This window comes from Homo sapiens, chromosome 11, assembly GCF_000001405.40.
Source record: "Homo sapiens chromosome 11, GRCh38.p14 Primary Assembly".
NCBI classification, from domain to species: Eukaryota; Metazoa; Chordata; class Mammalia; order Primates; family Hominidae; genus Homo; species Homo sapiens.
Genome location: NC_000011.10, coordinates 20,080,463 through 20,104,530, shown reverse-complemented (window position 1 = coordinate 20,104,530; position 24,068 = coordinate 20,080,463). Strand labels below are relative to the sequence as shown.

The 24,068-nt window shown below is 45.4% G+C and overlaps 1 protein-coding gene across 50 annotated transcripts in view; it reads right to left on the bottom strand.

Moving 5' to 3' along the window:
* NAV2 (neuron navigator 2) overlaps positions 1–24,068 on the bottom strand; it is a 776,366-nt gene that overhangs the window by 17,071 nt on the left and 735,227 nt on the right. For 26 of the 50 annotated variants that reach the window (XM_017018520.3, XM_017018522.2, XM_047427830.1 and 23 more), the window contains 10 exons: positions 21,931–21,939; positions 21,352–21,524; positions 13,513–13,666; positions 12,163–12,325; positions 11,332–11,432; positions 8,764–8,859; positions 6,786–6,954; positions 3,359–3,594; positions 1,122–1,276; positions 807–878 (listed from right to left, as the gene is read on the bottom strand). In XM_017018520.3, the coding sequence (XP_016874009.1) occupies positions 807–878; positions 1,122–1,276; positions 3,359–3,594; positions 6,786–6,954; positions 8,764–8,859; positions 11,332–11,432; positions 12,163–12,325; positions 13,513–13,666; positions 21,352–21,524; positions 21,931–21,939 (1,328 nt within the window). The remainder of the gene's footprint in view (positions 1–806; positions 879–1,121; positions 1,277–3,358; positions 3,595–6,785; positions 6,955–8,763; positions 8,860–11,331; positions 11,433–12,162; positions 12,326–13,512; positions 13,667–21,351; positions 21,525–21,930; positions 21,940–24,068) is intronic. The other 24 variants (XM_047427824.1, NM_001111018.2, XM_047427828.1 and 21 more) reach the window with 1 other exon arrangement.

Below are 24,068 nucleotides of genomic sequence, written 5' to 3'. Positions count from 1 at the left end.
GGTGAGCCATGCTCTCAGTGTGCTGGAGGAGTCAACATTTCTCTGGTAATTACATACAGACCCACTTTCAATAGATCTCCCTCAGAGATGCCCATAGAATGGCCAGTGGAAATGAGCCGGGGGTCCTAGCCCAGGAGACACCTTCACATCCACCTCTAAGGGCCCAGGCAGGAGAGGTGGAGTCAACTGAGATTCAATATGGGGCAAGGGGTGTTTGGTGATGTCAATCAGGCAGCAATGCAATCTAGCACAACCGAGGTGAACAGCCCCTCCCACATCCTGGCCATGAGAGAGCACCAGCGTGGTGCTATGGCAGCGGGGCAGGGAAGACAAGCTGGTAGGGAGTCACAGCAGCTGGGACTCGAGGGCCCACAGACCCAGCTAGGTGGGGACATTTTAGGTAAAAGCTGTCATTGCTCATGTTCACTTGGGACAGAGAGACGCCACTGGAAACAAGCAGGGCAGCAGGGTCACCTGCAGTCCCTTCCAGAGCTGCCCCCTTGACCCTATGACAGCAAGACTCAGAGGCAGAGACTTGATTGCAAGTTCCACTCTGCCACTGACCAGTGTGTGACCTCACCCAAGTCACTTAAGTCTCTGGGCCTTAGTTTCCCCATTGGTAAACTGAGAGTGGTGAATGTAATTACTTGAGGCTGAAGTTAAAATTAAATGGATTAAGCTGAGAAAAATGCTTAACAATACCTAGCATACAACACATACTCAACACAGGCATCTCTACCCGCCCCTTCTTGCTTTTCTTCTTTGTGATTCCATTGTTTAACTGGACAAGGGAAGGGAAAACTGACCTGAAGTTATGGTGAAGCTGCAGGTTGGGAGTCGAAGAGGTAGCCTGGTTCATTGTGCCAATTATGTAAGGGCTGCGGATAAAATAAAGGAAAAGAAAGCTGTGATTCCAAGCCAAGCTAGAGAACAAGGTGGTCACAGAGGCCCATGGCCCTGTGCTTCCAGGCCAGTGGACAGCTGGCTGCCTCCCACTCCCAACCCTATGCGTGTGCACAGCTTCACTCCCACAACGGCCCCGGGCCACCTGTGTGCACAGTGCCCCATCAGCTGGCAGCACTCTCTCCCGGGGGGCTATGAGGTCCAGAACCAGCCTTTACCATTTGTGGTACTTGCAGTTGAGCAGCCCATTGAAGATCTCTCCCAGAGAGCTCACGTGGTGTAGGTTGTCCAGGATGATGACGAGGGGCATGTCCACAGCATTGTTCTCACTGTTGCACTGGTCAGCAAGGTTGGACAGGTACTGGCGCAATTCCTATGGTGGCCAGGAAGGCCGAAGGAGAACAAGTGGGTGAATGCACTCAGTGAAGACACACCGCTCAGGGCCTTTGCCTCACCCAGGCCAGTGGAGGCAGAAAGGCCCTTCATGATTCTGCGCTGTAAACACATTCTGGGTGCCTGCCTATTACAGGGCACTGGCTTGGTCCTCAGGGGATGCAGAGTGGGCATGGGATGAGTTAGGACTGGGTCCTGACTTCCAGTATTCACCTGATGAGTGGAAACCTTGAGCCTGGGGTAAAAGCACAGCACTGTGCTCTTTATGTGTGTAGCCTGAGAGCTACATACACAGAAGCCCTCTACACATCAGAGCAGCAGAGGAGCCAGACACACACTTAAGTCATGCTGAGTAGTGCTGTGGCAGACACAACACACAGCATTGGGGAGACAAGTCTATATGCACCGGGCTTGGGGAAGTCCTGCTGAAAGGGCAAGCTTTGTATTTAACCTTGGAGAACGGGTGGGGCATTGGCTCAACAGGGACTAGAACACAGCCCTGCATGCCTGGGGTAAGGGATGCATGTCAAAAATGGAAGAGGAAGAATAATGGTGCATCAGTGGAAAAGGCTGAAACGGCAAGATAAGGAGCTGGCAGAGAACCTAGGATGGCTGCCTGCCATTACTGTCATAATGATAGCTGGCATCACTTAGAGCCAGGCAGGGCTTTAAGGGCCTTACACACAGGAACTTCTGTAGTCCCACAATAACCTAGAAGGTGAGTACTATGATTACGTCCATTTTACAGAAGGAGAAGCTGAGGCATGGTATGATAAGGTGCCTGGCCTGAGAGTGCACAGCGGGTAAGCAGCGGGCATGGGTCAGACCTGGGTGCCTGCCCCAGTCTGTGTCTTCACCACACTGGCCTGTCTTAGATGCTAGCCTGCTTGCTCAGGGGGTAACATCTTCTCCATCTCCTACCAGCACCCACCCACCCTGGGCCTCCATTTTAAGTCAAAATATGTCTTGTTAGCAGTAGAAAAAGCCCACCTTTTAAAGTGGCTAGTTCTCTTAGTCCCTCTTCACCGTGATCTCTGGGCCCCAGGCATGTGGCTCCCCATGCCTGCGGAGCCTTCACTTACTGGTCCCAGGAGAAGTTCCCTAACTCACACAAAGGCTCTCAACAGAAGAGCTCTGGGTACTTCTCTCTTGTCCTGCACCTACATCAAGTTACTTGGGGAACTTGTAGATGGTGCAGATACCCAGCCTCAAACAACCTAGTGAAATAGGTCATCAAGAAGTGAGGTCTAGGAACCTGTATCTTCAAGCACACTAGGTGATCCTTAAGGCGAAGGAGTCATTTCCAATCCACCTTTGATTCTCTGGCCCCTTTGCATAGGGCCAGCTAGAGTGAATTATCCATCAATGCTCACTAATGCATGCATGAACAGGTCTGAGAAAGCACTTTCCAACTCTCGGCTGGGACCAGGTCAGGCTCCATTCAAACAGGTTTCCGTTGCTCACCGTGAAGCAGGAGCCAATCTATTTGCTGGCCACAGGGCTCTAGAGTCCAAGACTTTGACTTGAGCTTCAGTTCTACCACTTAGTACCATCTGAGTGGTCTTAGGTGCAGGACCAATCTGCTTCAAGCCTCTGTTTCCTTCTCTGTAAAATGGGGATGGTGACAACTACTCCCGTGAAGGTATTGCTGTGAGAAGGTGTTTGCTGGTGATGGGGCAAACAGTCTATAAATGTGGGCTTCTATTATTTTTATTATTGTTATTTTTGTTATTGGTGTTATTATCGTTGTTCCACAAAATATTTTACTTTGGAAAATCAGTAACACCCAGTACGCACATGATAAATTCTTGGTAAATTGCAACAGATGTATCGTGGATAACATTAAAGAACTACCAGCACTGAGCATCATAAATGAGCTCGATCAGCTTAACCACAGATGGAACTTCTTTTCTGCTAGCCCCCTCTGGACCTCTTTCACTTGGCTTTCTAAAACCACCCAAGGATTGTTGATAGGAAATGCTGCTTTCCCTTCAGGCTAGTGGTGATATCATCAGTTTTGAAAGGGCCAAAAAATACAGCAGACTCAGAATGACCTCCTCACCTTGCTGGACTTATGGTCCACGTTAAAGGTGGCGATAACCCCGTCTGTCAACTCCCGTCCCTCTCGAAGCACTATATACTCAGACAGCCGGTTGGCCAGGTAGGTTTTCCCAGTGCCGCTGGGGCCAGAGAGAATGATCCGACGGTGCTCTATCAGGAGGGAGACGTAGCGCTGCAGGATGGGCTTGGGAATCAAGGACTCAAACACCAGTGAGTCCAGGCTGTTTTCTGCGAGCCCTGCATTTGAGAGAGACAGGAATCATCTGAAGCCCTGTAGAAAAGGCAGCTCTCTGTGCTTGCCTAACTGGGACTGCCAAGACCTGAGGTGATTCCTCTCCTCGGCAGTCCACTCACCTGAGACTCCTGCACACCCAGGAACACTGGAGGCTGAGAGCAAAGTGCTGCTGCTCTAGGAAGTCACCTCCCTGTTCATCAACGCCATGTGCTTCTGTCTCCTGTCTTGGCTAACTTCCCAGATTCAAACTCACCTTGAACATTTTGGCTCTCAGTCCCTATCTGTCCTCTGCAGAATTCATGAGGCTCTGGGCTCTATTTGCCTGTCTGGATTTACTATACTTACTACACACACACACACACACACACACACACACACACACACACACACACCCCTCTAGTATACTATACCTATGGCATCTGCCCAAACCAAACCTGAGTCCTGTCTGTCACAACCCTGAGGTTGCCTCTTCACCCTGCTCCCTCCCACATACCAGGTACCACTGCTATCCACACTAAGATGTGCCATGAAGGCAACACCACTTTTATCTTTAAAAGGAGGAAAAATGCAAGGCGGGATCATTTGATTCCGGAATGTGAATACTGGCAGACCTAGCCTGAAATGTTGTTAGCTGGGACTCTTGGTCCTCAACAACATCAAGTGGAAACTTATCCTTCTCCTTTCCTATCTGGGACAATGTCATTAATCAGGGTTGTTGGCTTCAAAAGGGGTATCTTTTGGATACTGTCTCTAAGAGAAGATCCATCCAAGGTTAGCTGTCCAGAACCTCAGGTCATTGTTAAAAGGTACTCTCAAGAAACCAGCAAAATTAATAAAAAGTAAACTGAAGAGTATGTACTGTTTTATAATAGCATATTCCTTCTACGTACTCAGTCACTGCTAGCAGATCCCCCCAATGCATCTATATCTAAGTGTACAATGACTCTTCCAGAATGAACATGACAAAGGCCCCCAGATGTCTTATCTGCTAGGGACAAGCCTAAGATTTTCCTGCTACTGAGCTTGATGTAGTGTACACTTGCTCAAACCTCAATGCAAAGTATGGAGTGTAGGGTCTCTAAATTTAATAATAATAATAAACACAGGAAAAAACCACTAGAACACCCTCTCTGTATATATATGTACTGCTCTGTTTCGGTCTTCTGCCATAAACCCCACAGGAAGTGACTATTTTGCACAAGAGCTCACTTGAGGAAATGCAAAGTCAAACCCCCTTCCCCTGGTACCACTGAAGTGAATCACTGCAGCTCAGGCAACTCTTTCAGCTCAAATCCTTGAGTGGTTTTTAGTGTCTTGAAGGCATAAGTTTTAAGTACTCTAGGAAAGAGAAGAGTCAGGTGTCACTGAAAAATAAACCTGAGCTGATCCCTTGAGGTGCTAAAACTTGACGTGCTGACAGCAGCGATGGATCAGGGTCTGCAGAGGGGTGGCACGCTCCACTAGAGGCAGGTAATCTTGTTACTTTCTAGAGAGGCTTGGCCTGGTCTCAGCAATAGGCCATTCCTTTTACTCCTCAGTCCTTTGTAATGCTCACAGGTAAAACCAGCAAGTGAACAACGCATGCTTGGCAGGAGGGATGAAATGCAATTTGAACTCAGGACATAAAAGGCTCTCCTTAAAGGGTTCTTGTCGAGGATGATTGTTCCAGTGGGTCTGATACTCCTTCCTGCTTCCCCTCATGGTAGAACTCTTCTTTCCCATGGGGAGCTCATTCCTGGTGGTTCAAGTGGAACCAATCCAGCAACTCCACCAATTCTCCTCCACTGGTCCAGCTCTTCCACCAACCCAAATGGATGGGCTGGTGCCCAGGCTCGGACAAATCCTCTCCCTGGTCATAATGACCAATTCAGTGATGGGCATTTGACCTATAGTGGGCCAGAGTCATCCCTAGGAATTATCTGTTACATTTTCCCAAAAACCCCTCTTTCCTTCAGGTTCCTAAGCTAGAAGAAGGAATTGGGCTACCAGGGGCCATTTCATCAACCAGGTACAAAGAGCTCAATAAATAAGCACAGCCGATGGGCAAAGCTGAGGCAGGCCTGGTCCTGATTCACTGTCTGACCACCTGGATCCAGCTGTGCTTGAGGTGTACCCCTGGATTGCCCAAGGCCATGAGCCCATACATTTCCTTTTTTGTTACAGCTACTTTTGAGTCTGTTTCTGTCACTTTTAGTCCAAAGGCACAATTGTGGAATTTCACTTGCTAGCAGGAGGAGGCTGTGTGAGGCTCAAGCAATATGTACCACTTGCCACCTGCAGAGCAAGATCTTAATTCCTGCTGATGGAAAATGGTGGGGTGCTTGTGGAAATTCTACCAACCAGGAAATACACCTTGCATCAAACAACTGCAAAACTGCAGTCAAGAGCAGTGCCTTTCAGGGAAGTAAGAAATGAGACAACACAAAAGAATGAGCCTAGTACAGTATTTATGAAAGTCTATATTCAAGTGGTCCATAACATATAGGAAATGATAGGGTTTTACAATCAAATACATTTGGGACAGACTGGATTAAACAGCCTTTTTAACAGCAGGAGTTAGGACACTGAATGACAGAGCCTTTGATGTACCAGTGCACTCCTGTCCCCTAAACACAAATGGGGATAACGATGTAGTTTCCCAGAATTGCATGGCAGTGAAGCTTTTTTTTTCCTCAGTGAACTTTGTGGGCCTGGAGTTCTAAGGAATCCACTGGCCTGGGGCTTAATATCACTAGGTAATGAGAAACTGGAAGCTCTAGCAGCATCATGCGTGGGCACAAGCTTCAGCAGTTTCATCAGGATGCTCAGAGTGACTCCTACAGCCTATTGCAAGTCGTGGTTTTCCCATCTGTAGAACGGGACTGCATCCAAAGCTTGCTGGCAAGAGTAATTCATCAGTATTAGTAAAGCCCTATTTCAACAGGGTTATTAAGATTCCATCATCTCAGAGTCATAAGGCTAATGGGATCTTTTGTTAGATAATTGCAGCAATAAACTAAAATGATTTTGTTTCCTAAGGTGGTTGAAAAAGCAAAAGACGGTTCAACTTGCATAGAGTAACTGTGGTAGAAGGGAGACAAGCAGCCCACAAATACATGCACAAACAAAACTGGGGCCACAAGTGCCTATGCCAAGTCACAAAACAAACACTGCAATTCCTGAAAGCTCCGACTTCTGCAACAAGCTCAATTACCTTTCACAGTCACTGAGATGGTCGTGTTCTCTCCAACCAGATAGCCACAAGGAAGCAGCTCCGGTGTTTCGGAAGTGTTGCTGCGCTTGATTTCTCCAATGCTGTAGCCAAGAACGCTGTCTGAATTCAGCCCTAGCTGACTCACTGGGTCGACATGAATGATGTATTCCTGGAAAAAATAAAAAATAAAGACCCCATCAAAGATGTGGCTAAAATCTGCCCATGACTCATGTTTTCCCTGGGTGATTTATGATCATATTCTCTTCTTTCTCAGATGTCTGAGTTGAAATTGAGCTGTGGGATGAGGGGGAGAAAAACTGACTTTCTAAGGGGATAAAGCCCGAGTACCACAGGCCTCTTAAAATACAGATTTATTTGGTTAGCAGTGGAAGAAAAAAAACAAACCCCTAACAAGGTTGTGAACGTTTAGTCTGGATGAACCAAGCACGGAAAAGCTAGGCTGCTTTTCCTAAGTTCGGCTGAAGTCTTGAAGACATCAGGGCCTGTGAATGGTGCTGGAAAATTCACGAAAAAGTAATTTTGACAGGAAATCTCTCTTCCATCCCCTTCTTTTGGCTCAAAGATCATACAAAGAGATTAAAATGCAGACTGCTAGAAAAAATCAGCTCTAGATCTTTGAGAAGGAAAACGTGTGTTTAATTTGGAAAGTGTTCCCTCTTAGTTGAGTGAACAAAAGGTTTTAGGTTAGTAAATGTAGAACTAAGGTCCATGTACTAGGAGGTGACTGCACGATGACTTAGGTGGAATCCCAGTAACAGGCTTTGCATGGTCTCATTTCCTCACTTACTATGATGCCAATGTGTCTCTTTTCAGCCCAAACTGTTATTCTAATCCAAGGATGTCCCAACTGTCCATCACCAGAGATAAGTTTTTGGCCTAGGTCGGAGAATCGGTCCATCTAAGCCATTCATATGTCTTCTCTGGTCTCATTTCTATAGGCTGGCTTACCAGGATGGGGACCAATCTCCAGTCAAAAAACAGAATTTTCTCTGTATGAGGCTACCTGGATCTAGCTGTTAGAAAGAAACTATAGTGTACTATTAGGTTGTTGCAAAAGTAATTATGGTGGTGCAATTACTTTTGAACCAACATAATAGTTAAGTTAGGTTTTGAAGTCAGACCAACTAAACTGGACCAACGGGGTCTAATTCTAGATCCATGACCTTGAAAAAGTGCCCAACCTGACCCTCACTTTCTTCACCTTTAAATGGGATAATATAAGGGGCTTGGCATAGTGTCTGGCACAAAAAACGTGGACTATTATTACTACTCAGGGAATATGATTAATGAGCCCTTATAGTTGTTGACTTACTTCAGGACAATAGAAAAAATGTACCAAAAGCTTCCTTCAAATCACCATGTGTTTCAAGGTTCACCCTGGTACTCATTAGTTATTTATCCCATGGCAAACACCCAATCTAATGATGTGATTAAAAAGAATAGAGAAATAAGTATGGCAACATCCTTGAGCCTGGCCATCGATCAGACATTAATGTCACTCGTAAAACAAATCAAAGACTCTGAAGTGTTGGCACAGGATACCGGGAAAATCAGATCAAATCCCCCAAAATGAAGGCTAGAAATCTGGTGTCTAAGCCCTGGCCACAGATTACATACTCCGAAGCATATGTCCTAAGACACAATTCTAAGGTGAAAAGAGAGTTGGACATTAGCAGTTCACTGTGAGAGGATCAAAGAGTTGCTCAGATCACACTCACTAGCTGGCCCACCACTGCAAAGGGCAGACGGCAAGAATTTGGCCGATGACCAGTCTGTACTTACCATTGTCCTTCCATTCCCTTGAGAGCCAGGGAACAAGTTCCAGCAACATTAACATGTAGGGAAGGGGACAGGTCTGAGAAATGGCCAAGCTCAGGACATCAACCTCTCTTTTCCTCCCCAGGCCCGGATGCCCATGTTAGGTAGTATGCTGTAGCCGTTGTCTTGAAACACTTACTTTGAACAGCCGTCTAACCACCCCATCGAGCACATCCCACTTCGTCTTGCCACTAACTCCAATGCAGCCAATAAGAAAGAGATGTGGTCTGGAATCCTAAGGGTAAGGAAATGTACACAGGTGAAAAACAGGTGGATCTTTTCTGACTCAGTTCAGCAGAGGACTCAGGTTGCCTTAGAACTCCGCCAATGGTTTGAGAGGGGAATAAAAGTCCTATTTGTATTAAAACCAGGTATAACTTAGGTGGAAGTAATAGTCTTAATACCTTTCCCTGCTTTACTGCTAAAACAGCGGTCCAAGAGTCAGGAAAAGAGGATTTCCTCTCTGGAATATGGAAACTTTTGCTAAGTAAATGTGTCAGACAGGGCATAAATCACATATTCCTTGTATGGAACTCTCTCCACATCTGTCTAGCATCTCTCTCTTTTCAAACCTTGCTTATAAACTCACCTCTTCCAGGAAGCCTTCAGTGATTAACCCCATCAGGCTCAGAGCTTAAATTGCTTCGGCAATTCTGTACGTAACTTATATAATGATATATTCTGTACTAATTTATATTTAGTTTTAGGTATTTCTGTCATATTTTTGCATATCAAGTTTACCTCCTTACTAGATCTTAAACATTGTCAGGACAAAATGTGTTTCTATTTTTTCTTCTATCTTGTTTTTAAATAACATTTATTGTTTTTATTCTTGTTAAAACTTAAAACATGTGCAACTCAGAAAACTAGTAAAACTCTGGGAAGAATACTCTCAAAACATCTTTTTCTAACTCTTTTGCATCTCTGTTCACAGGGCTTTGCGTAGTGGCAGCTAACCAGATCACAGTGATAAAAGAAAAGCTGATAGAACATGCCATAATATTGGGTTTTTACATGCTCATAAGGATCAGAGTCAGGAGCGTGGTTGGGTGGAGGTGGGGGAGGTGTCATATGGCGGCTAAGCAAAATCAGCAGAGAAAAGAGCAGCAGTCTTGCAGTGACATGATCTGACCCCACCACTTGCCCCTGGCTTCAAATAAGTAATGTTTGGGGTCTCGGGTTTCTCAATTGTATAATGAGGATAATAATCCCTGGTCAACCAACCTCACCTGGATGCTGTAGTGATGCAGAATAATATAACTTTTGAAGGTGACTTGTAAACTTTTGTAAAAGGTATGCTCTATGTGTTCATATTGACAATCACTAGAATAAATAATCCACAAGGTGTAACCTGCATTTACTGTAAGAATGAGTTTCCCAGCCGGCTGTGGTGGTTCACGCCTATAATCCCAACACTTTGGGAGGCCGAGGCAGGTGGATCACAAGGTCGGGAGTTTGAGACCAGCCTGGCCAATATGGTGAAACCCCATCTCTACTAAAAATACAAAAATTAGCCGGGCATGGTGGCAGGTACCTATAGTCCCAGCTACTTGGAAGGCTGAGGCAGAAGAATCGCTTGAACCTGGGAGGCAGAGGTTGCAGTGAGCCAAGATCGCACCACTGCACTCCAGCCTGGGCAACAGAGTGAGACTCTGCCTCCAAAAAAAAAAAAAAAAAAAAAAAGATAAAGAAAAGAAAAAAGAACGAGTTTCCCCTAACAGTCCATCACTTTACTAGCTATGTTTTGAAAACGGAGCTATCTACTATATATTTCATGGCTAGATGACGCTAATGGAAGTGCCAAAATGCTGAGCTTACCCCCTATAGTGAGGCTAGCAAGCCAGCCGCAAAGCTGAATCCCCTAAGAAAGGTCTGGCTGCAGACGCTTTGTTCTGTGGGTTCCCTAGCTGTCTGAAACTACAATAGCATGTTGGCTAGAAATACTAAGAAATAACAAACAAAAAACTCAAGGGAACTTGAAATGGTGACTCATGAGGCCTTTTTACATTTATTCGAGAAACAGTCATTCAAAGCATCACTGGGTTTTAATCACTGGCTAAAATTCAACTTTCAATATCAGCTCTAGCCCCCATCCCAAAATAGTCTCTGGCAGTGGTATAGACTCTGGAAGTTCCTAGACTTTGGAAGTGAACAGAAACCGTACTAGGAAAACTCGGATTCCCCAGCCTTGGGGAGTCAGGACGCCCCACTAGCTCTATTTTCAGCCACCTGCATGCTCCCAGGGCTTGGCATCTCCATCCCTTGATGTCTACCAAGATGTGTACTCTTGGTGACTGATGACCGATAAAACTGGTGCTCTTGGTCGGCTGCATGTGGTCAGTTTATTTCTGTACCTTACATGCTGAATGTGCATAGCTGCCTCTGAAGTGCTTTGGGAGTATATTACATTCAGAAAGGCCCTTTCCAATGGATGTTAGTGTTTAGTTAATTACATGAAAGTGAAACGTGGGACCATTTTTAGTATTCTTTATTAGACTTTCAAGCACACGAGAAAGGGAAATGCCGTTCGCACACTTTACTTGTGTCAGAATGCTGCAAGGGATTATGGTTAGTTAAGAGAAGGGTTAGTAGTATTTCCAAATCACCTTAGGCTCCAAGGTGATAGAGGTTTTACAATTAGATCACTAAGCTAGGTAGTTCTACCTGGGGGAGGGACAGGCAAAGCAGGGAAAGGGATCCAACTAACCTCCTTCCACTTCATTTCCTCCTGAAAGCTGACAACTATCTTAACATGCCTGCCTCCTTCCTTCCGAGCCGAGCATTCACCAGTGTCATCCAGCAACATGTCTGCGAATGGAAAACATCAACAGCCTTAGGCACATGGGGACAGCAAAGCCAGCTTCCTGACACCCCCGCTGCAGGTTGGCACAGCAGCGGGACAAACAGGTGTCAGGGTGCAGGGGGTGGGGGGGTAGGGGAAGAGGAGAGGGCAAAATGGAGAATGCAATCACAGAAACCAATGGTGGACCAACCAAAGAACCAGTAGGCTGACAATGCACCTTGCCGGATGGAAGTGCGAGGGAGAGACTCAACCAAAACAACAACAGCAGCAGCATCATGGATAAAAAATAAAAGCATCAGCCTTAATACGCTTACAAAGAAAACCTAGATTGTGTTCACTGATGGTTGCACCAGCCTGGAATCCATCCTGAAGGCAGGAAGATCATAGACCAAGCCACTGCCTCAACTGAGACCTGCTACTATGGGGTTTGTGTACAGCATTCAGCTTGCAGGTCAGCCTCTTAAAATGGATCAAACAAACTCAGCATGGTGGGCGAGGGGATCCAAGCTCAGGGCTTGGAGAATTTGGGGTGCTGGAGCAAAGCATGAGAGCAGTCTAACGGCTGGGCTCATGTTGGTAGCAGACTCACACCCAGACACATACACACCCCAAGTGCACACACGCCTGTTGCCTCTCCATTTGATCTGTTGATCTGCTTATTTTGGGGTTCTCGCTTAGAGATCAGGGTGCCAGCTGTAGGTCCATTCCTGCCCCCAAACCCTGTAGGCCACTCACCCAGGCTGGTTGACTCAGTGAGGTTCAAGCTGTGCTGGGAGAGGCCCATGGACTGCCTCGGGGAGGCAGAGATGGACACTTGGGAAGGAGCCCGGCTGCAGCCACTGCCTTGAGACTCTGACTTCAGCCGATCATTCTCAGCTTTCAGCTTCTCTATTTCACTCTGCAAAGAGTAATGGAGAAGCTCCCTTAGTAGGCAGAAGTAATGTGAACAAGATTTTTCTGAAGGAAGGATCTGAAAGTTCCCTGCAGAAACCAGGCTGGTCTTCCACCCAAGGCGAACAACACCCTCAGAGAGATTTAGCAGTGTTTGCTAACCCTGCGGTAGACATAAGACATGCTGCCATGGGAGGTCCATCCATTCAGAGAACAGGCCTTTGAAAAGACCTCTGAAATGCTTCCCAGAGTCTGCTGCTTGAGGGTTAAGTGAAAAAGAGTCTTATGATCTAAGAGGTTTGTGCAACTCTGGCTTTTACAGGCTTCTTTCCTGCAGGACTTCTCAGAATCTTTAATGAGCTCCTCTACGCCATGAATTGAACAGAGGCACATGGTGTGCAGCATTTTCCAAACATATTTGATCAAGGTATTCTCCTTTCATAGAGCTTCTCATGGAAAGAGTGTTTCAGGGAACCTCCTTTGTGAAACACTGACTCCATTAAGATCCCAGCAGACTCTAGAGGTATCTTTCATTCTACGAATATTCATGAAGAACCTACAATGTGCAAGGCATTGGTGCTATGTCCACAGAAAGGTATGCAAAAAGCCCAGAAGACCCAAATGTCTTCACTCCATGGCAGAAGGTGGGAGGGGCTGTAAGAACAAATCTACAGGAATACTCAGATAAGGGTACTAACTCTCCAGCTGCAAGACTTGGAAAGGAATCAGGCCGAGCATTAAGGGAAGGGTCTAACTTGGATGTGCAGAGGAATATACCCAGTGGAGGGAACAATATGAAAGAGGAATTTCCAAGGATGCAAAGGGGGCAGTCAGCGACTCCATCTGGCTGGCGAGTAGATTCTGGGAAGAGGAGCTGGGGAGGGTGGTGTGGATTAACAGTGGAAACGACCCTGCAGAAGGCCTTGAAGGCCAGCTGAAGGAGACTGTACCACATGCCACAGGCACCAGGGGAGTCACCAAAAGTATTACGTAAAGGAAGAGCATGGGTACTCTTATTCTTCCAAAAGACTGGGTCTTTGAGCAATGTGTGGGAGGGACTGAAAAGAGATAAAGGCTGGGAAAGCGAGGGCCGCCACCAGATTCTGATGCAGCCCTCAGGGCTTAGTGGAGAGCAGCCTCTGGGAGCTCCTTCATAGACAGCCTTGAGCTCAGCCCATGCTCCTGGGCTCTCACCTGCATCCTGTTCATGGCCTCCCGGAGCTGGTCCAGCTGGTGGGCAGAACTGAGAGCTTCTAAGCGGATATCCGTCAGCTTCATCTCCTTGTCTCTTAACTCATTTCGGAGCTGCATGACGGTCTCAGCTTCACTATCCATGCATTCTGAAATTCTAGGGAAAGAGGAATGTTACTGATGAAAGCAGCTCCTTTTAGTCCCCTACTGAACACTGGTCCACATCAATCATCAGGTTTGTTTAGCAGTAACTGTGAATAACCAGCTGCCTGGTGCTTCCTGTGGGTGACAATGCCAAAAGCACCTGAAAACAGATTTTATTCCTTCTCTGTATTCTTTTTTTCTTCTTTAAATTGGTTTATTTAGACCACTGATGTTTAAAATCGTTAATATAGTTAGATTATTATTTACTGTATTGTTACTTTTCTATTTGTTGTCCTTTTTCTTTGTTCCTATTTTTGTCTTTCACTCTTTTCCTGAGTTCCTACTTTTGTCTTTCACTCTTTTCCTGCTTTTTGTGGTTTCACTTTTTAAATTTTATTTTTATTTTTATTTTTAGAGACAAGATTTCATTCTCTACATTCTTTCTTTGCTGAGCTCTGGCAATCAGAATGGCTTTGGTGTGCCTTTCAGCAAAATTCCAGGAATATAAGGATAAGCAGGAGCTGGCAAAAGGGAGTAGTAACCTTCCAGTTTGATAACCCCCTCCCCCACCATGTGTACACAGCTGGGCTTCCATGACACCACACGCCCTTGAGTTCCAAACCGACTCAGAGAAGCAGGGTCAGCTTACAGTTTTAAAGATTAGAAACTTCTTTATTAAACAACTGAGGGGTGATTTTTATTTGCCAAAATGGGGATGAAACCTAAAGATATGCGTGGAAGGTGTTAATCTGTTCCTGATCACATTCTGAAAACTCACTCCCCTAAAAGTGTCTAGACAGATCAACCTTCTTTAGTTCTCTCAGCCCCCACACTGCTTAACACACTCAGGGCAAGAAGGGAAACCTCTTCAGGGAGTTAGAGAACAGACGGGATGGTGTGACAGGCAAGCCAAAGTTGTATCTGAAAACTCTGCAACAGCCTGGCTAATTATCTTCTTTTCCCTGCTGCACACCAGGTCAAGGTCACCATGGGACCCTGTTGAGTTCCTCTTTCTGAAGAGGTGGTTCTTCTAGCTTAGGCTCCTTAGTTACTTAGGTTTGCTCTTCAAACACCTGGCAAATCAGCACAAAGTAGAAGATCATACAAGTCGTGATGAATTGCAATGTTAGGAAAGATAGTTCTCTTAAAAAAAATAGTTCTGTGAGTTTCGACGATCTTAGCATCTGGGTTACTGGGTGATCCAGAATAGAAAGCTTTGACATTTCTTGGACTGAAGACAGAAAAACAACCCCAAACACCCCCACTCTCAAGTTCATAAAGTTACAAAGCTGAAGCTGATTATGTCTAAAGGAGATGATGAGCATGTGGTCTCTGCAGAAATAAATGATCACATGAGTCTGGCTCTCCAAGACCCAAGCTATGGGTTTGGGGCCAAACAAAACCTGACCTGTAAAACTGGGTGAGGGTGTGGAAATTTTAATTCCCAAAGGAAAATGATTTATAAAATTGTTAAAAGAGATGAAATTGTATTTCGGGGGCAGAAAGAACTGGAAGAAAAATTTAACACTTGAATAGCCAAATGTTTCTGTTGCTCTTTTCTTGACCTGAACCTGAACTTTTTTGATTTGAGAGACACGGTAAAACCACCTTATGTTTTTAAAAGTTACCAGTCACCAAGGAAGATTCTTAGCTTCAAAATCTTATTGAAAAACCCAAAGAACTCCTGAAAATGATCTAATTATTTCCATCTCACACTTTTGAGAGACTGAAGCCAATAGATTCAGGACTAAAAGGGCGAGACAGAAATGTCTTTAGAATTTGCAACATCCTTTCTTTCTCAGCTCTCTGTACTTTGAATAGCCTGTGGTTTGTGAGGTTTACTGATAGAACCATGCTTTTTTTTTTTTTCTTCGGTTTGGGAGGTTTGCAGGAGGAGCTTGCAAAAACTGGTTCTATCTTGAGAAGACTATGGTTTCTTGGTTTAAATGGAGTGTAAAGTCTGAACAAAATTTCACTGTGATACTCCCTTCTTAGCCAAATCATGTCCTACATGAATCTTGAAGGCTCAGATTCACTGCAGAGAACAGTCTGTTCTGGCTGACACCATGTGAGGCTCGTCTGTCCAGCACTCCACGATAAGGCACCTTGCTCAAGTCATCTTCACCTGATCTGCACCCTTTTCCCAGAAAGCTCTCAGCAAGAGAGAAAATACCTTCTTGGCACTCACGTTGTGGAACGTATCACATGGGTTACTTTGCAGAGCTTGGCCTAAACCCTTGACTTTACAAACGGTACCAAACTGAAATGAAGAAAGTCTGTGTTGGGAGGACTTTGTCCTCCCTATGCTCCTCCAGAATCAGCCAGCTCTCAGAAACACACAATGATGAGGCCTCATGAGACAGATGCCCTATAACGTAGACATGATGTTGAAAACACATTCTTGGCCCGGGTTGGCGGCTCACGCCTGTAATCCCAGCTGAGGCAGGTGGATCATCTGAGGTGGGGAGTTCGAGACAAGCCTGGCCAACACGGCGAAACCCCGTCTCTACTAAAAATACACAAATTAGCTGGGTGGTGTAGCTTTGGTGGCGGGCACTTGTAATCCCGGCTACTCAGGAGGCTGAGGCAGGAGAATCGCTTGAACCTGAGAGGTCGAGGTTGCAGTGAGCCAAGATCGCGCCACTGCACTACAGCCTGGGAGGCAAGAGCGAAACTCAGTCTCAAAACAAAAAAGAAAACACATTCTTTTGCAGCAGCCTTAACTAAGCTTTAGTCCCTAATCCTAATGCCCAAGACAGAGCCTTCTCCCCTAGTTCCTTCCCTGACTAGACTTATGCTGTATCGCTGATAATTTCATTTCAACTTAACATGTTACCTCTGCTTGGCTGCTGGCTCCTCAGGGACCAGGGTTATTCTCTGCATCATTTCTGGCATCTGATCACATTTACATAATGGGTACCTAACAAATGCTTATGGAATACCTAAACAAATGGGCTAGGTATTTGAAGTATATTATTCCATTTCCTTTGTACATTACTCACTCCATGAAGAGGTACTGTAATTATCTCCAGTTTTAAAATGGGGAGGCAGAGACATGGACACAAGCAGGCCCAAGACTGCACCATGTAAAAATGATAGAGGCAGATTCAAACCTGGCAGGTCTGCTCAGCTCTAGAGCCTGTGTTCCTGAACTATACCCACTAGGCGCTCAATACATGCTTGTCCACTTCATAAACTGCTTACTGAAGACACCTTATGTGTGTTTTTCCCTACTCAGTCCCTTAACTGTGATTCAAGCCTTTTTCCACTGTCTTGTCCACAGTCAGGGCTGGTGGCATACCTAATTTTAAAATGCCTCGAGTGTGGGAAAACGTTGCCTTACCACAACTACCATTCCTTTTGCCCACGGATTGGGGAATTTCCTAAGCCCAACTCCTCTGCCTATGGTTTTGTCTTTGAACTCCCTCTCACATCTAGATTTGCACATTCTTACAAACCCTTCGAGGTTGGAAACAAGCATTTGCTCTCAGCCTACCCTTTGGAAAACGAGACCAAAAACAAACATCTCCAGTGTGCATGGATGCTGTGGAATGTAAGAAAAGGGCTGGGGAGCCAGGAGCCAACCCCACCCGATTCCTCTGGGGAAAGTGGCTTGGAGGATAGTTCTGCCATGGTCCTGCACAGCTGAGTGCATCACCGCCTCTCTCTGCTCATCTTACTTGGCCGCCCAGCAGCATCTGGCCCCGTTCCTACTCCCTCCAGCAACAGTTTCTCCTCTCTGCTCCCAGGTTTCCTCCCACCTTGCTGGCCGGCAGCTGTAACTCCCTCTTTCTGAACTTCAAATATCAGAGTGCACCAGAGCTCAGTCCTCTTGCCCTCTTGCCCTCTGATCATCTTCGTCTTCATTCAACCCCTTGGAGAACTCTTCCAGTTGCCCAGCTTTCGACACCACCAATAAGTCTGTGTCTCCCAAATCTACACCTCTAGGAAGTCCAGGCTGGTTGACCTGGATATGGATGTCTGCTGGCATCTCAAATTTAATGGAACCAAAGTAGTGCTCCGACTCCCCACTCTGCCCCCCTCTGTGTCTCCCACTCATCCCAGGTACTCAAGTTGTAAATCTAGGAATATCCCAGGATGGCTCTCCTCTTTCCCTTGCACTCACATCTGATCCATCACCATACACTGTCAACTTTTCTTCAAGAATATCTCCTAAATACATCCAGAACTCACTACTGTTATCAGTGGCTCATTCATTCCACCAAATATTTGAGTGCCTGCAAAACCAATACAGTACTTACCTCCATGGAGCTTCTACTGTAGATCTGGGGTTGGGGTGGGGGACAGAGAACAAATAATCAAGGAAAACCTCTATGTCAGGTGTCAGGGGGCAACATGTGCAATGGGGAAAAATGAAGCAGGGGCAAAGGGACCATGGGGAGCACTGGCTCATGGTAGAATGTTGGTTTATGCAAGTGAATGGGCAAGGCCTTATTCATTAAGTCACATTGAGCAGAGACCTAAGGAAATAAATATCTGAGGGAAGAGCACACCAGGCAGAGGACACAGGAAGGACACAGGCCTTGAGGTGGAGAGTGTGATTGGAATGTTCAAAGAACAAGTGGGCCAGAGTGGCTAAGAGCCCCTGGGTGATCTCCCTTCCCCATATTCCTTATACACAGAACAGAGACTGATCTTTGTAAATTCAGATTATCTCATATTCCTGTTTCAAACTCCACCACACCCACCCATTATACATGAAATTGGATGCGAATTCACTTCAAAGCCTTGCGTGTTCTAGGCCCTGACTATGTCTGTGGCTGTAGCCTACTCGCATATGTGGGAAGTCACGCTGTCCATCCCTCTCTCTTTCAGACATATCGAACCTGTTTCTACATCAGGCTCCTTGTGTTATTTATTTTTTGGGTCAGGAAGACTGCCCTGCTCATTGGGAGGCTGGGGTGGCAGAGGCTGCTATGTGTTCACCAAAGCCCATTTCCTCCTTCACTTCTTCTGCTGCAGGTGGTATGGCTTTGAGTCCTGGTCAGTGGACTGTGGGAAGAGGCGACATAAGCCTCTTCTAGGCCTGGTCCTTAAAACCCTCCTGCAGGTTCCTCTGCACTCTCCAAACCCCCACGCCCACTGGCTGGACACAGAATGTTGAGCAGTGGACTGGGCCCTGTGGATGGCGGGAGCCTCAGTGCCTACATCACTAGAGGGCAGGCCACCTGCTGACTAGGACTATCTGCACTGGGTTTGGAGTGAGCAAGAAATAAACAGTCATATGTAAAGCTGCTGAGCGTTGGGCTGAGTTTGTTACAGCAGCTAATGTTACCCGCTGAAACTAACCCAGTGGCTCCCCCTGGCATGCAGATTCAGCTGAAATGTCACCTACTCAGAGGGCTCTTTTCTGACCACCCCATCTAAAGTTGCTGCCAAGGTACTCTGTATCTCAGCACTGTTTTAATTCACAGCATTAGCCCTTAGCACTCTCTAATTTTCCTAGTTTATTCAGGATTTATTTGTTTAACATTCATCTCCTCTCTTGGTATACAGGGTCCATGAGTAGGAACTTTGTGTTGTACTTTATCGTAACCACAACTGAGAATGGGGCCTTCAGAGTGAAAGTTCAGGAGTAGAATGAACTGTACTATGTCATGTCTCCACTAGTATTTACTCTTCTCAGGGGTGGAGAATCTGTTTAACTTTTTTTTTTTTTTTAAATAGAGACATGGCCTTACTCTGTCACCCAGGCTGGAGTACAGGGTGATCACAGCTCACTGGAGTCTCAAATTCCTGGGCTCAAGTGACCCTCCTGCCTCAGCCTCCCAAGTAGCTGGGACTACAAGTATGCAACACCATGCCTGACCGATTAAAAAAAATTTTTTTTTGTAGAGACAGAGTCTCACTATATTGACCAGGCTGGTTGCCAGCTCTTGGCCTCAAGCAATCCTCCCTCCTTGGCCTCCCAAAGCGCTGGGATTACAGGCGACAGTAACTGCACCTGGCTTGGTTAACCCCTTTTTGGTCTCTTCAGAGCATCTGGAATAGTGCTCTGCTCACACAGGTTGCTATACAAAAAGTTTAAATCAATAAATAAAGAAGACATGATGAGTTCCTTTTTCTCCTGGTCAGGAGACAACTGAGTTGGGATGCTTTGGGATGATGGCATGTGTGAGAGTCACAGGCAACTGGTTCTTTACTCTTTCCTTAGGCACTCTGCAGATGGAGGAGGACACACTCTCTCAGTAATTTGTCTAATTCTTCACTCAAAATAACACAGGACACTGGGCTGGGCACTGCAGGGCCAAACCGAAGTCCAGTCCCTCAGTGTCCTTCTTCCTTCCCCCATTCAATTTTACCCTCACCCATAGCAGTAGGAAGTACACACCCCTGTGGCTACCTCTTACTAGGGTGTTCTCCAAGAAAAGAGGAATTGATCATCTAACTCAGTAAAGTAGAGACCCTGACAGGGCCATGTTTCAATAGTGGGTGAGGTTGCTTAAAAGTCATAACCCTGGTTGGGTGCAGTGGCTCATGCCTGTAATCCAAGCACTTTGGGAGGCTGAAGCAGGTGGATCACCTGAGGTCAGGAGTTCGAGACCAGATTGACCAATACGGTGAAACCTCGTCTCTACTAAAACTACAAAAATTAGCTGGGCATGGTGGCATGCGCCTGTAGTCCCAGCTATTCAGGAGGCTGAGACAGGAGAATTGCTTGCACCTGGGCAGCAGAAGTTGCAGTGAGCCGAGATCATGCCTCTGCACTCCAGCCTGGGCAACAGAGCAAGACTCCATCTCAAAAACAAAACCAAAACCAAAACCAAAAGAAGGTCATAACCCTACTATCCTCTGTTTCCTCTCTTCCACTCCCATGCAGTTGGTATACTACAAAGATCTGGCCTCTGGACAGGCTGATTTTGCCTGTACTCCCTCTACCCATCTGGTAAGCTGCTAAGGCAGGGCCTTAAGACACTTATGCTGTCTTCAGTGGGCTGGCTGGTTAAGTGGACTTAGGGTCAGCGGCACAGACCTGGCCCCCTGAGAATGAAGAAAGATGGAACAGCATGGAAAAGGCCCTTCATGCATAGTATTTAACTTGGCCTTCCCAAGAATCCAGTGAAGTAGATGTAATGAACCCTATTTTTACTAGTGAGGAAACTGAAGTTTATACAACCAAACTTCTTTCTCTAACCCTATCTCAGTGGCTGTCCTGACCCTGGCCATGACTTCCCTCTTCTCCCATGCACTGTCTCATCTCTCTGACAACTTTCCTTGCAGACTACCTGTGCTCCAGTTCTTTAATTCTAGACCTGGAACACCATGGTTTCAAAAGAAATTCAGCCCTACTGAGCAGGGCCAGCCTTTCTTACTGCTGCAGGAAGCAAGCTCCTGTATATCCATTTATCTCGTCCAATTCTTAGGGCTAGGATACGTACACAAAAACCATTATCCCAAATTGATATATAGAGGTATGGAAACAAAGAGAATTTAAGTAACCCGCTTAAGGCCAACCAGTTAGTTATGGATATTGACACCATCAGAACGAAAACCTAAGTTTCTTTTCTCTTTCAACTTTCCCAGTCCTAAAGCATTGAAAGAACATGCACAGTCCTATTAAAGCAAAGCATAAAGGATCCCAAGGAGCAGATGTGTCATAACAGGACTCCTAGCCATTCCTACTGGAGAAGGTTCTCAGGGGCCAAAGATGTTATCTGACTAGACAGACAGACTTACAGAGAGTTGGAGTGAGAATTCCTCAGCAGTGGGGTGGAACCTGTGGACCCATTGTGCGGTAACTTTGGTGAGGAAGGCAAAGAAGAATCCGTCATCTCCTCAATATCTGAATGAGAGGACGCAGATTTTGGGGACTTCTTCTTCCCGAAAGCTTGCTTGAAGGAGCTGCGTAACTGAATATACAAGACTGTCAGTCTCACAGCGGGGGCAACCAATGCTTAGGCCTTGGCAAAACAGAGACATGCACACAAAAAAGCGATTAATTCTCCCATGTTTTTCCCCCCACCAATGGAAGAGGTTCCCAAGAGCTCTTTTGAATCAGTGCATTAAGGGAGGAAGAGTTATCTGGTGTTGCCAGCTTGAGGGACTGCATCTGTGGGTAACATTCCATGCCTACTCTTGGTTCAAGACTAGATGCCAACAGCAACACAGAGTCTGGCTCAGCAGATGGATGTTGGGAAGATGAGGTTACACAGCAACAAAGCAGGATGCTCAGACACGGTGATGGATGCGGATGAGGTTAGTCATATCAATGGATGGGTTAGCTTGGTATCTGATATTAAAGTTGGTCTTGCTTACCTCATTGACCTGCCAGAGAAAACGCAAGCAAAAATGGGGAAGGGGGAGGAAAAAAGACAATTTTTTAACAGAGAAAGCCAGTGACAGGGAAAGCTTCGGACTTTCAGACACAACATGGCTAATAATAAACACCACACACAGGGGAGGTTTCCAGTAGGAACACAAATCTTTAAAAGCACTGGGGGCATGTTCCTCCCTTCTGAAAGGAAGGGAATAGCAGGTTGGGGAGTCCTCTACAATTCCAGTTCTTCCAGCTTTTCCCTGTCTGGCTGAAATGGCTGCCTCCCACCTTCCTGTGCTTCTCATTCTCTTCTTTTTTCTTGTCAGTCACCTCTCTGTGCTTTAAATTTTGGGGGAGGTTGGAGAGGATGTCTTCTTTTTGAGCAATTCTAGCTTCACTGTCACACTGGCCCTGGATGGCTGTATAGCTCCTTAACCTATCCACTTAGGAGTTTCAGCTATTTGTGTATATAAGAAGATAATCTAATAAGCAGCAAATTAGCCATGTCACTTGTTACTCAGAAAATGGTTATTTTAAAGAAATTTATTAACCATATGGGGGGAAAAGGAACTAGTATATTACAATTTCCCCAAATCATGAGATGGATCTGAAAATTCTTTCCCCCCCGCCTCTGTTGCAGGAAATGGATACCTAAACATTTTAATGAGAACATAAAGAATTAAAATGCAATGTCTTCTCTGAAAGCCATAATCAGATTTTTCTAGGCCAAAAACTAATGTTTCATCTTGAAAACAGGCCTTTTAAAAGTAATTTCCTTTTTCTAAAGTCTTTTTTCCTTGTGAAAATACGTTCCAGGGGTTTTCTTAGCCACTGAAAAATTCAGAAAACAGGCCATTCTAAAAACTGATGAGATTTTTCTCCCATCAACAGGTTTCATCTATAATAAACCACATGTCCAGCTTGTGGGCAAATCTAGATCCCTTTTCTCTCCCATTTCCTACCTCTGATAATATTTCCAGAGAGCAGTCACAGAAACAGAAGGATTAGGGACACAAGCCATCACCTGAAATCCTTGCCTCTACCTCTGGTGAAAAGCCAGGTGGAAGAGGAGATTACAAAGATCAGACAGAGCTAAGCTTTGGGATTAGCTGAGGATGCCAATTATCCATCTTCCCTGATTTGACTGATAAGCGGGAGTTGTCTTAAAGCAACATAAGCACGTTTTATTTCTTGAAGAAAATGGAATAACCACTATTTTTCGTAGAAAATATCTCTCTCGTCACTTTGAAAATCAAAGCTGACCATGTTTATCGATTGCATATTAGAGACAGCAATATGAATTAATCCTATCTGTGTTTAGTCATAACAAATAAGTTGACTAAGAGCCATTAGTAACTTAAAAAAGAAAATTTAATCAGAAAGATGAGAGGGTCACACTAGACTGGCTTTTTAGCTTGCTTCCAATGCAAGTCATTGACAACCAAAATTACTAAACCCCTGATGTCTGTATCACTAGACCTCGCCACCCATCCAAGATAACACAAAATGAGTGAGAAGTGTACAGAATGAATGAGGACACTGAAGCTACTAGTGAAACAGGATGCCGTCAGCACAAATGGGGAACGGGGCCACTGGTCAACTCCAGATCAACTTGAGATATTCTTGCACTGAAGACAAGGGATAGCAAATCTCAGTCAGAGCTCTGTAGCCTTTAAAGAAGAATTAAAAAACTGGATGGAGAGTGAGGGGTGGAATTTTTCTGGGAGAGTGGAAAAAACCACTCAAGGCACCACTGTCCAGAAATTCAAATAACTCACTGGGATTATGAAACATGGAGAAACACTGTAATGGAGACTGATTCTATTAAACTTGCTATTTGAGGTACAACCCCTGGTTTAGAACTACTTGCTAACTTCTAACACTGACATTAGGACACTTTTATTTATAGGACATGGTCAAAAAGTTTTCAAAGAGAGGGTTGGTTTGATGATATCCCTAGGCATTTGTGTAAATAAATAGATAAAGATTACGGCTAAAGATGGGATAACTAGCAATATGCTCAAAAAAATATTTTGGATCTATGAAGAAACCATTTAAGAATAACTTTCCTCTAGTACCTGAAACTTTGTGGCCAACATATAATGAGGAAGAAATGACACACATATGAAATGAAAGA